Source organism: Homo sapiens, chromosome 14, assembly GCF_000001405.40.
Source record: "Homo sapiens chromosome 14, GRCh38.p14 Primary Assembly".
NCBI lineage: Eukaryota > Metazoa > Chordata > Mammalia > Primates > Hominidae > Homo > Homo sapiens.
Genome location: NC_000014.9, coordinates 79,968,625 through 79,981,076, shown reverse-complemented (window position 1 = coordinate 79,981,076; position 12,452 = coordinate 79,968,625). Strand labels below are relative to the sequence as shown.

At 39.0% G+C, this 12,452-nt stretch overlaps 2 long non-coding RNA genes across 3 annotated transcripts in view; one reads left to right on the top strand and one right to left on the bottom strand.

Annotated features, from left to right (window-relative positions):
- The first annotated feature begins 4,580 nt into the window (after positions 1–4,580).
- Positions 4,581–8,709, top strand: LOC112267892 (uncharacterized). 2 transcript variants are annotated; one of them, XR_007064285.1, is made up of 3 exons: positions 4,581–4,688; positions 5,989–6,065; positions 6,913–7,330. It is a non-coding gene; the product is annotated as an uncharacterized LOC112267892 (long non-coding RNA). The 2 variants fall into 2 exon arrangements; XR_001751016.2 differs by lacking the exon at positions 4,581–4,688 and adding an exon at positions 8,623–8,709 and having other exon boundaries at positions 5,523–6,065; positions 6,913–7,120.
- Positions 8,468–12,452, bottom strand: part of LOC107984630 (uncharacterized) — a 28,603-nt gene continuing 24,618 nt past the window's right edge. Inside the window, exon 3 of the long non-coding RNA XR_001751015.3 lies at positions 8,468–10,310. This is a non-coding gene — a long non-coding RNA (uncharacterized LOC107984630). The remainder of the gene's footprint in view (positions 10,311–12,452) is intronic.

Genomic DNA, 12,452 nt, shown 5'->3' with positions numbered 1-12,452 from the left:
AGGGTTAGAGAGATGGGTGGTACACATGCACAAGAAAAAATTTAATGGTAAACTAGGTTGTGGTCATATGTATGTTTACTGCAAAATTTGTTCTACTCCGTTTAGTGTTTGAAAAATTGTGTATTAAAATGTTAGTTAGGAAAAGGATGTTCATCTCCTTAGCTACCCTCTAAGTGAGATAGTTCCTGTTTTGTATTACACTTTATTTTTGGTGGTGGTGGTGGTGGTGATAGTGGTGCTAAATAGAATGTCAAAGCCAAAAAGATACATATCTGTTTACAGATGAGAAAATTTGACTAGAGAGGCAGAATGAGCTGTCTATAGTAAAACAGATATTAACTTGTAAGCCAAAACTTGACTCAATTGTCCTGACCTCGTAGGTATTTTGGGGTTTTATTATATCAGTGTGGGATAGGTAGGTACCATAGCAGTGATAAAAGCTACATGCTGAAGTACATTAAACAGGGCAATTAGAAATTATTATCTATGATATACAGCACATTGTCCATGAAGCACATCCCTTCAGTTCCTGAGACTGATGTGTTTTCTCTCCTTTGAATGAACGTAATTGTGGAGGCATATTGTTATATTCTAGTTTTACCAATGACAGTTTATACCAGTGCTTCTCAAACAACCTGTGATGAAGGATCAGGTTTATATACTTTTTAAATTCAGCTCAGACCAATATTTTAAAAAATAAAACTGAATTACTAGAACTATAAAATTCTAAAAAGACTTTAAAAATAGAAGCTTCATTATTATTATTATCTTTCATTTACCGTGTCAAATTGCTAATGGAGTTTTTTAAATGCTTACTCTTAAATTCTGTTGTTATAACCTCATGGACAAGCCAAAGTTTTTAGACCAGCACCAGTGTACAGGTAGAGTCACAGGTTGGTGTTGAATTGGCCTACATTTTGCAATGGAGAAACCTAATCTTGGTGTCCTAATTTTGTACTTAAATTGGCAACAGCTGTTGCCTCCTAGTATTTATTATTGCAGGCAGGGAGTTATCACTACAATAGCTGTAAACTTTTAGATACAGGGCATTAACTGCAGTGGGTTAAATGGTACCCCTCCACCAAAAAAAAATCTGTCTATCTCTAGATACATAGAGATATCTATCTATCTATCTCTCTATCTGTATCTGTATATATCTAGAGATAGATAGATAGATAGTGTATTAATCTGTTCTCACATTGCTATTAAGATACTACCTGAGACTGGATAATTTATAAAAGAAAGATGTTCAATTGACTCACAGTTCCACATGGCTAGGGAAGCCTCAGGAAATTTACAATCATGGTGGAAGGTGAAGGGGAAGCAAACTTGGATCTTTTCACATGCCAGCAGGAGACAGAGTGCTAGCAAAAGCAGGGAAGACTGCCTTACAAAAATCATCAGATCTCATGAGAACTCACTCACTACTATGAGAACAACATGGGGAAAACTGCCCCCTCCATCCAATCACTTCCCACCAGGTCTGTTCCTAAACCCCTGGAAATTACAATTCCCAATGTGATTTGAGTGGGGACACAAAGCTTAACCATGTCATTCAAACCTGGCCCCTCCCAAATCTCATGTCGTCACATTTTAAAACCAATCATGCCTTCCCAACGGTCCTCCAAAGTCTTAACTCATTTCAGCATTAACTCAAAAGTCCAAGTGCAAAGTCTCATTTGAGACAAGCCCCTCCCTGTAAAATCAAAAGCAAGTTAGCTAATTCCAACATAAAATGGGGGTACAGGCATTGGATAAATGCTCTCATTCCAAATGCGAAAAATTGACCAAACAAAGGGGCTACAGATCCCATGCAAGTCCAAAATCCAATGACAGAGTCATTAAATCTTAAAGCCCCAAAATAATCTCCTTTGACTCCATATCTCACATCCATATCTCACTCCATATCTCTTGCATCTGCTGATGCAAGAGGTGGGCTCCCAGGGTCTTGGGCAGCTCCACTCCTGTGATTTTGCAGGATGCAGCCCCCTGCTGCTTTCACAGGCTGGCATTGAGTGTCTGCAGCTTTTCCAGGTGCAATGGTGCAAGCTGTTGGCGGATCTAATATTCTGAGGTCTGGAGGATGGTGGCCCTCTTCTCACAGTTCCACTAGGCAGTGCCCCAGTAGGGACTCTGTGTGGGGGCTGCAACCCCACGTTTCCCTTCTGCACTGCCATAATAGAGGTTCTCCATGAGGGCTCTGCACCTGCAGCAAACTTCTGCCTGAACATCCAAGTGTTTCCATACATTCTCTGAAATCTAGGTAAAGGTTCCCAAACCTCGATTCTTGATTTCTGTGCACCTGCAGGCCCAACGCCACATGGAAGCCTCCCAGGGTTGGGGCTTGCACCCTCTGAAGCAACAGCCTGAGCTGTACATTGGCCCCTTTTAGCCATGGCTGGGATGTAGAGCACCAAGTCCTGAGACTGCATAAAGCAGCAAAGCCTTGGGCCCAGCCCAGGGAACCATTGTTTCCTCCTGGGCCACCAGGCTTGTGATTTGGAGGGGCTGCTGTGAAGACCTCTGACATGCCCTGGAGACATTTTTTCATTGTCTTGGTGATTAACATTTGGCTCCTTGTTACTTATTCAAATATCTGCAGCAGGATTGAATTTCTCCCCAGAAAATGGGTTTTTCTTCAGGCTGCAAATTTGCCAAACTTTTATGCTCTGCTTCCCTTTTAAACATAAGTTCTAATTTCAGATCAGCTCTCTCAAGTTCAAAATTCCACAGTTCTCTAGGGTAGGGGCACAATGCTGCCAGTCTCTTTGCTAAAGCATAGAAAGAGTGACCTTTGCTCCAGTTCCCAATGAGTTCCTCATCTCTATCTGAGACCATCTCAGCCTGGACTTCATTGTCCATATCACTATCAGCATTTTGGTCAAAACCATTCAACAAGTCTCTAGGAAGTTCCAAACTTTCCCACATTTCATGTCTTCTTCTGAGCCCTCCAAACTATTTCAACGTCTTCCTGGTACCCAGTTCCAAAGTCACTTCCAAATTTTCAGTTATCCTTACAGTAGCACCCCACTGTCCATGGTACCAATTTACTGTATAAGTTTGTTCTCACCTGCTATCAAGAACTGCCAAAGACTGGGTAATTTATAAAGGAAAGAGGCTTAAATGACTCCCAATTCCACATGGTTGGGGAGGCCTTAGGAAACTTACAATCATGGCAGAAGGAGAACAGGCAAGAGAAAGTGTGCAAGAGCAGGGAAAACTGCCTTGTAAAACAATCAGATCTCATGAGAACTCACTCACTATCATGAGTACAGCATGGGAGGAAAGGCCCCCATGATCCAGTCATTTCCCACCAGCTCCCTCCTTCAAAACATGGGGATTACAATTTGAGATGAGATTTGGGTGGGGCCACAGAGCCATACCATATCAGATAGATAGCTAGATAGCAATATAACTTGCTAGCTGGATAGATAGATATAGAGAAATTTTACTTGGAACTTGTGTATATGATTTATTTGGAAAAAGGGTCTTTGCAGATAGTGTTTAGTTAATCATCTCTAAATTAGATTATCCTGGATTATCCAGGTGGGCCCAAAATTCAATAAAACATCTTTAAAAAGAGGAGAAGACACACAAAGACACCAGGAAGAAAGTGATGTGAAAATGGAGGCAGAGATTGATGTGGCGAGTCTACAAGTCAAAGAACACTGAGGATTGCTGGAAGCTGCTGGAAGCTAGAAAGGGGCATGAAGTGGGTTCTTCCTCAGAACCTGCAGAGGGAATCCATCCTTCAGACTCCTTAATTTTGAACTCTTGCCTCCAGAACTATGAGAGAGTACATTTCTATTGCTTTAGGCTGGAATAGTAGTAAAAGTTCATGGTTATCTGTGACTGCAGCTCTAGGGAATGAATAGACTGTTCTATGAAAAGAATTGGTCAATCTGGATCAGGTCCTGGAAACTACTTTCACTGAGACCTAGATAGAACTGATACCCCAGGAAGTTTAACACAAAGGGTGCAGGTCTCACCCTAAACTTTCATTTTTCTAAAGGGGGAAAACATAATGAAACAAATAGTAAATCAATCATCTTAAACACTGTTTAAAATTGCACTCACTAATACTGTCAATCCTCCTTACCTCATCATGTATTTTCCTATAGCATTGATTTCTTGAACTACAAAGTAATTTTATTTATTTATGTGTTTATTGTATATTGTCTATTACTACAGCTAAAGGGTAAAGTTCATGACGGTAGGAAGTTTTGTCTGTTCTGTTCATTGCTGTATCCCTAACACACAGATCACTACTTGGCATATAGTAGGCACACAATAAATACTTACTGAATAAATGACTAAAGGCAGTTTCACCATGTACCATTTCAAAGAAGCGTATAGACCCAATGAAATAATAGACCCATCATCAGGAAAAAATGCAAATGCTCTAATTATAATAAAGGAAGAACTTTTTTCTCTCATACTAGCTATTAATGAGAAAGACATTTAATCTGGGGAAATACAGAAAAATATCATTAGCAAAAAAGTGAAATCTGGAATGGGTGAGAACTTGGTAAGAGAATTCCTCATGGTTTAAATTAAGTCTAATTTCCGTGCCCATGAGAAGTACCCTTTATTCAATTGGTTTACGTTTCAGAATACAAAAATGACTTGCAGATGTGATTATAGTACCACTAGCTTCCCTTTATTTGGAGAGATGATGAAAATGGCAGGTAAGAGGCTTAGAAAATAATAGATATTTTAATTTCCCAAACGAGGCAAAGTATATTTTAAGACATTTTAGGCCAGCACTGCAAATTTGATTGTCTTCAGCAGCAAGGGAATGTGATGCAAATGAGTGAAGCAGGCAGGTTTTTGTTGTAACAGCAGCAAAGATTCAGGTGACATTTATCTGGTACTTGCTTAGTGCCAAGCTCTGTTCTAAGCATTCTATGTGGATTAACTCATTGAATCCTCGTAGGAACTCTTTTAGAAATATGCTGTTACCACCAATATGTCCTTTTATAGAAGATGAAACAGAAAAGTTGAGTAATTTGTCCAGGGTTACTCAGGTAAAATGAGACAAGCTCTTTAGGCTTGAAACCCAGACATTCTGAATTTAGAGTAGGTGCTCTTACGTATTATTCAGGTGCTTGTCAAACTGAACATGCATCATAATCACCTAGATGGCTTGTTAAAATAGAGCGTGATCTCCACTACCAGGATTTTGATTCAGTTTGCATTTATAACAAGTTCTCAGATGATGCTGATAATGTGGCCTTGGTGAGGCAGAAGGTGGGACTCAACTCCAGAGGCAGGGCTTGAGCTCTGGACCAGATTGAAGACTAGTTGAAATAGGGAAGAGGCAAAAGCACTTCTTCATAAGACAAGCCCACCAGTGCCATGCCAGTTTACCATTGCCATGGCAACACCCAATAGTTACTCTTGCTTTCCATGGCAATGGCCCAGAAGTTACCACCCTTTTTCTAGAAATTTCTGAATAACCTGTCCCATAATTTGCATATAATTAAAAGTGGGTATTAATATGACTGGAGCGCTGCCCCCGAGCTCCCACTCTGAGCACACTGCCTATGGCTTAGCCCTGCTCTGCAAAGAGCAGTACCTCTACTACTGCTGTACCCTGCTGCTGCAATAAATTTGCTGTCTAACACCACTACTGGCTCACCCTTGAATTTTTTCCTGGGCAAAGCCAAGAACTCTCACAGCCTATGCCTCAATTTTGGGGCTCATTTTTCCTGTATCACTGGGACCATACTTTGAAAACCATTATACTACCCTATACAAATTAGTGGCAAACTAGAGAATGCATGATGAAATCATTTATTTAAAATCATTTAAATTCATCCAATTAAAATTATTCATATTCACATCTAATAAGTCAAAGGAGGAAGGAAAGGGGAAGATGGCATGTCTTCAGAATAAATATGTTCTGCTTGCTTCAGCAAACCGGAATGAACCGAGTCAATAATGGAAGAATTTGTTGTAATATATTTGTGTTTCTTTGTGTCCAAGAGTGTTATTCACACATGAAGCTCAAGATGGTCCCTGATGATATGTCACAGAGATTCCTAAGGTACTCTTTTGTAAAGGTAAGTATGAGTAGTGTTAAAAAGAAAACTTAAGCTGAATTAAATTCAAAGGAGTTATTGCTCAGTTATTTAAACTGAGTAATGAATGGTTTGTGAATCAGGCAGCCCCCAGAATCACAGCAGATTCAGAGAAACTCCAGAACAGCCATGTGGTAGAAGAAGATTTATAGACCAAAAACAAGGGAAGTGAGGTACAGAAATTGGAAGTGAGGTACAGAAACAGCTGGATTGGTTACAGCTCAGTGCTTGCTTTATTTAAACACAGTTTGAACACTCAGCAGTGTATGACTGGTTGAAGTATGGCTGGAGGGATTGGCCAGAACTCGTGATTGTTACAGGTGCATACTCCTAAGTTAGGTTTTTGAACTTGTCTACCTATTAAGTTAGGTTGCAGTTCATCCACAAGGGCTCAAATATAGAAGTATGGAGTCTTTCTCAGGCCATATTTCGTTTGCTTTAACAGTAGACAGTAAAGAGTAATAATAAAATATATGTAGTGTAGTGGGTCAAATTCTAGCCCTCAAAATTCATGTCTGCGAACATCCTCTGATGCAACCATATTTGGAAATGGAGCCATGAACACGTAATTAGTTAAAATGAGGGCGTACTGGCTTAGGGTGGGCCACAAATTCAATGGCTGGTGTCTTTATAAGAAGATAAAAATTTCCTACAGAAATCAATAAAAAAGGACACATAATCCAATATAAAAACAGAATGATATGAACAGGTAAAAAGAGGAAAATAAGTTATTTAAAAACATATGAAAAGATGCTTAGATCAGATAATGACGAAATTTAAACTAAATACAATAGTTTTCATTCTTTTTTATTATTGTTTTCATTTACAGAATGACTAGACAGAAAATACTTCCTTAGTTCTGTAACAAGCAATGATTCCTGGAGTGGGAAATGTTCTTGTGGGACCAGAGCTCAGTTGCAGCCTTTGCAGACTAATGCTCCTGATATTAACAAGAGGTCTTGTGTTAACCCAACGATCTAACTCCAGCCTGGTGAACCTGATCTTTGGAACTATTAGGGGGGAAGATAAAAAGCCAGGTGAGACAGAGCTGTGAGGGATACCCAGGAGTCAGAAGAATCCTCTCTCCTCAGCTAGACATAGTCTAACCGACTTCCACAGACACAAAAATAATTTACTCTCACACCACCAATGAGTGATAGTGCCTATTTCTCCATAACCCTGCCACAAAGACATTATTGTATTTTTTAATCTTTGATAATTCATGCATTTGTCATTTGGTACCATCTATGCAAAGGTAACTGACACACATTCACACTCATGTCACGTGGGGTGAGAGAAAATTAGGCTTATTCAGAAAACTCATAGGCAGTAGGACTAACAGTGTGCAAGTGTCCACAGTTTTGTTAATATCCTGAGGAGGGGCACATGGTACCAAATGACAAATGCACGTATCCTTTTACTCAATTTTACTTCTGGGATTTGGTCTACAATTATATCACATATCTAAGGGAAACACTTTTCTGCAAAATCATTCATCACAGCATTATTTGAGGTAGCAAATTATTGGAAACAGTTTAAATATCTACAAATAGCAAAGTAGTTAAATTATGGTGCACGCATACAACAGAAAACTATGCAGCTCTAAAAAATTAGGAAGTGTGTATGTACAGATATGGAATAATTTCTGAAATACATTTTTAGGTTAAAAATTAAGGTACAAAACATATGAGTAATATACTGCAACAAGTGTAATAGAAAAGGGGAAATTTCTACGCACGTACATTCATTGTTCCAATTCTGTTCTTTGAATGGATTCATATTAAACTGATAACATTAATTCCCTTTGAAAAGAGCTGCTGGTTGGCTGTGACTAAGGGGAAGATAGAAACATTTTACTGTATACTCTTTTGTGCCTTTTAAATTTTGAACCATTTAATGTATTATATTTCCAAAGGAAACCATTGAATAAAATAAAATAAGTATTCAGCATCCAAGCCAAACAAATAATTACAGAAACTATAGATCATCAGTTGCGAGAGTTACAGATGAATGCCGGATAGCAAGGGACTAGGGCTGATGTAGATGACCCCTAAGGTCTCTTTCGTTTATAAGCTCCTGTAGCACAATGATGGACGCCTCTATATGGCTAGACAGAAACAACAGCTGCTTAATATGCATACTACCTTCTGAGTGCCAATCTTTTTTTTTTTGAGTAACCTTATCGTTTGCATTTTAGTTTTCATGGGCTCTTTTCTCGTAAGATCTAGCAAGAAAGAGAAAACACCTGAAACTGACCATCTCATGCTCTTTAAGATGGGTGGCTTTCAATGTTCTAGAACATTCAGCTTAAATTATGTTGACGCTTTCCCTTTCTACCATAAGGAAGGAGTCAGAAAACCATTCTTATAAAATAAGTTGAAATATTTGAAAAAATCAGAATGGCATGTGCCCCACACAACTAGAGTTTCAGTGAAGTGATTCTCTCAAAAACGGTGGAGAATAACTAGGAGGAGTCCAGGAGTCTTCCAAAATGCTAGGCCATTCCTACCAGGGATTCAGAGAATTTTCTACTCTGCAGGGAACTGGGGAGATGCCAAAGTAATCACTTTCTGCTTGCTCAAGTTTGCCTGCAGTTTTCAATTGGATGCAGTGCCTTCCATTTCCCACCCTACATTTTTGCAGAGCTGTGACACTGTACTTCAGAGAAGAGCTACAAATCTACATCCACATGGTGAGTTTAATGAGTAGCAATGAAATTAGTAGTAGTATTTGGTACAGACAAATAGCAACCAGTAAGCTCTTTGGGATGAGAAAAAAGAGACTAATTGTGACCATTTGATAACTAGTTAATAACTAGGTAGCTAAAACTTATCAAGCACTCACTATGGTAGCTGCAATACTAAGGGATTTGCCTACATAATTTGATTTTAGCCCTCACATCAACACTATGATGTAAGTACAATTACTATTTCCACTTTCCAGAGCAGAAAGCTTGGAATGACCAGGTCATTTGCCCAAGTTGACACAAGCTGTGGGTGGTGGATCTAGGAACTCTTTCTTCACAAGTAGCACCTTTAATCATTATGTTATACTGGACTAAAAAGATAACACAATCTAAGTGTAAAGATTATAACAAATATGTGAGATTCAGAATGTGAGAAGAAAACAAAATACACTGCTCCTTTAAAACAGCTGTGTAGACAATTTCTTCCCTGGGCATTGAATAAAATCTTGAGCAGGTTTCATAGCTTCTCCAGTGGCTATATTATTTTTAGCTAATAAAAATTCCCTCATACTTCTAGATGCAATAACCATCTTACTTCAGAATTAAAATTGCCAGTCCATGATGGTAATCAGGACTCCAAGCTTCATTTGAGGCTAAAGCTCCTATGTCACCATACAATAATAAGATGCCTTTGACTCCTTCAGTTTGGGAGTGGCTTGGGTGGGGGTGGGAGTGAAAGGAGGAAGAGACGTTCGGGGCAGTAAAGATTTAACATGCTAGTACTGTCATACCATCATGATCTCACTTTGTTGATTTCAGGGCCTGGTGGTTGTCCAAAGCTGACTCATTATCTCATGAGGAGCTTTTATGGATTTCTAAAAGATTTTCCCACTGGCAACCTCCAGCCACATTTCCTGAGGTTCTCTGCTAGGTGTCTGCTTATAATTCCTCCCAGACCATGGGCACCCAGTGGTCTGTCGACTCTGTTGGGGTCTTGTCTTCCCTCTAGACAGCTCTTTTTGTGTGGGATCCAAGCTGAATCCCAGTTTGAGCCCTACAATTAATTCCTGGGAAACATGGGATGAGTGCAGCTGCTGACCAATGAAGCCACCACAATGTCCTACATTTGAACTTTTCTTGAAATAAAGATGGCATCAGTCTATGTATTTCATAGATTGCCAATTTCTTTGAGTAGTTTTCTTCATCTCCACTTACTTGGCTTGAGGTCAGGGATAAGTACACTTTGCTCTCCTCTGTCAGGGCAGTGAGGTGTGTGTGTTAAGTCAGAATTGGTGGTGATTGCCATACCATTCTAATAGCTCTCTCCAAAGAAATTGGAAGTCTCAAAAAATAGTAGTCCTCTTTTTTGGCTCTCCAACCTTTTAAATATCCTTGAGACAGTTCTTATGCTAGGGGTTGCCAAAGGAAATTTCCAGAATACTTCTTTTGCAAGTCCTGCATATATGGCCTGGCTTCTTATTTTAGATTGTGGAGGTTATTTGGCACCAATCATTTTGTTCTCAGCCTTTGGGGGGTTTCAGCTGAAACAGAGAAAGGAAAGAACAATTTTAACATCCTATTATAAATGTTTTTCTGTATTGGTTAAATGGTTCTTATAGGAAATAGAAAGTTTAAAAATGAATTGTTGTCCTGTACTTTCCAAACATCTAGCTATTTCTATTTTTATGATGAAATTTTCTTCATGCAGAATAAGAAGTTGAAATGGGACAGCTCAGACTCTAAATCCTGAGGCCTACTCAGTTTTTAACCCGAAATTGTCCTTCCATATTTGAAATAAGCTTTTCCTCTACCATTTTCATTCCAAATCTAGGAGCTTCTGAACCCTCAATTAAGCCTAGCCAACTTAATTATCTTAGCTAAGTGTTTCTTTCTCATTCAGCTTATAGTTCATTTATCCCTTCCTGGGATATGAGTCATTATGATACAGCTATATAACCAATATACTTGCTTGTCTGGGAGTCATTTTAATGTCTCTGAAAGATGGAATTATCATAGTTTATCTGACTTCCATATAAACAGAAAGAAAAACTGAATTCAAGTCCAATAAAACAATCTCTTTCTCGGTCTGCATCCTCTTTGTCTATCTTACCTGTATTACACATTAATGCTCTAGACGCATCTCGTTCTGTTGGGCTGCCTCCCTGTGACTCTTCCAGGACTGCGGTGTCTTTTTGGAAATGTAATCTTCTCTTAACTTCTGTGGGTGGTCCTATTCCTACCTCTTGAACTTTCCTCCTATTCTCTTCCGTGGATCCTTATCCTAGTGACTGTCCTGGAACATTTTCTTTCTTCCCTTCACTTAGCAATTGCATCCACACCCTGTTGTAATGGCCACCCAAATACAATTAATTCCCCTAGTGTTATCTTTACTTTATTCTGTTCCCTTGCACCTACTTGTGTATTTACCTTTATTGTGGCCCTTATCACATCCAAGTATAATCACTTGCCTGTAGGACTGTCTTTGCCAATTAATAAATCATTGACACTGGAGATCTGGCTTCTTATTCACCTACTCAGTACCAGACATATGGTAGGTGCTCATAAAAATTAAAATAAATGAAAGAAAAGTTTTAATCTTTGCTTGCTGGATAACATCTGTATATCTAGTTGGTCTCTTAAATTAAACATGGATAAAACAAATAGCATCATCATTTACTACGTTTCCTTCTGATTTCCCAACTTCAGTACCATAAGACTCACCTTTTATTCTACTGTTGGCCTTATCTACCAAATCTAAGCAATCATCAAGTCCTGTCTATTCCAGTTGGGCAGTATTTTTGCATTTGATTCATTATTCATTTCCAGTTTCCAAATCTTAATTGCCATTGGTTTGGACACTCATATTAACTTTCTAAATACTCAGTTGTGCCACAGGGAAAGTATACATTGTGAAATCCGGCAGATAAATGTTCAAATTTTGGGTCAGCTGTTAGATGAGAAGCAATGTACTTAAACTTTTGAACCTCAGTTTCACCATATAAGTTTGCACTGTAATCATTGATTAAATCCTCCATGAGATATTAGCTTTTAAGGCAAGGAATAATGTCTTATTCGACTCTTTATTCTTATAAATCAACCATAGTTCCTGGCATATCGCTGCTACTCATTGGTGCTATTTGTTGAATAAATGGGTGTGATAAGATCTACCTCACAATGCTAAAGTTAAAGAAATAAACTAAATTTAATGGGCTGGGCATGGTGACTTATGCCTGTAATCCCAACTCTTTGGGAGGCCAGTGAGTTATTCTTTCTTTTCCATATGAAGTGGGCAATGTTTGCAGTTGAGAAATTTTCTCATCCTGCTTCCTGACTGTAGAATGTTAGGAGTCCAGAAATCTTGATTCATTTTGAACTCTCAGTCCTTTTTAGTCTAAGCTGGTAGTACCTACTCTGACACCTGAGCCCAGGAGGTCGAAGCTGCAGTGAGCTGAGATCACACTACTGTACTCCAGCCTGGGCAACTGGAGTGAGATCCTGTCTCAAAAAATAAACAAATTTAGTAAAACATGTCCAGGAAGCATAAAAAGATGTGTGGAGGGGTCCATATACAGGATAACCAAGACCCCTAACTGTCAGAACTGGATGAGTTATCAACTAGCACTGAGCACCAACTGCCAAGCAGATCAGTGACACCATTTTTGGACTTCCCATTTGTCCTGGCA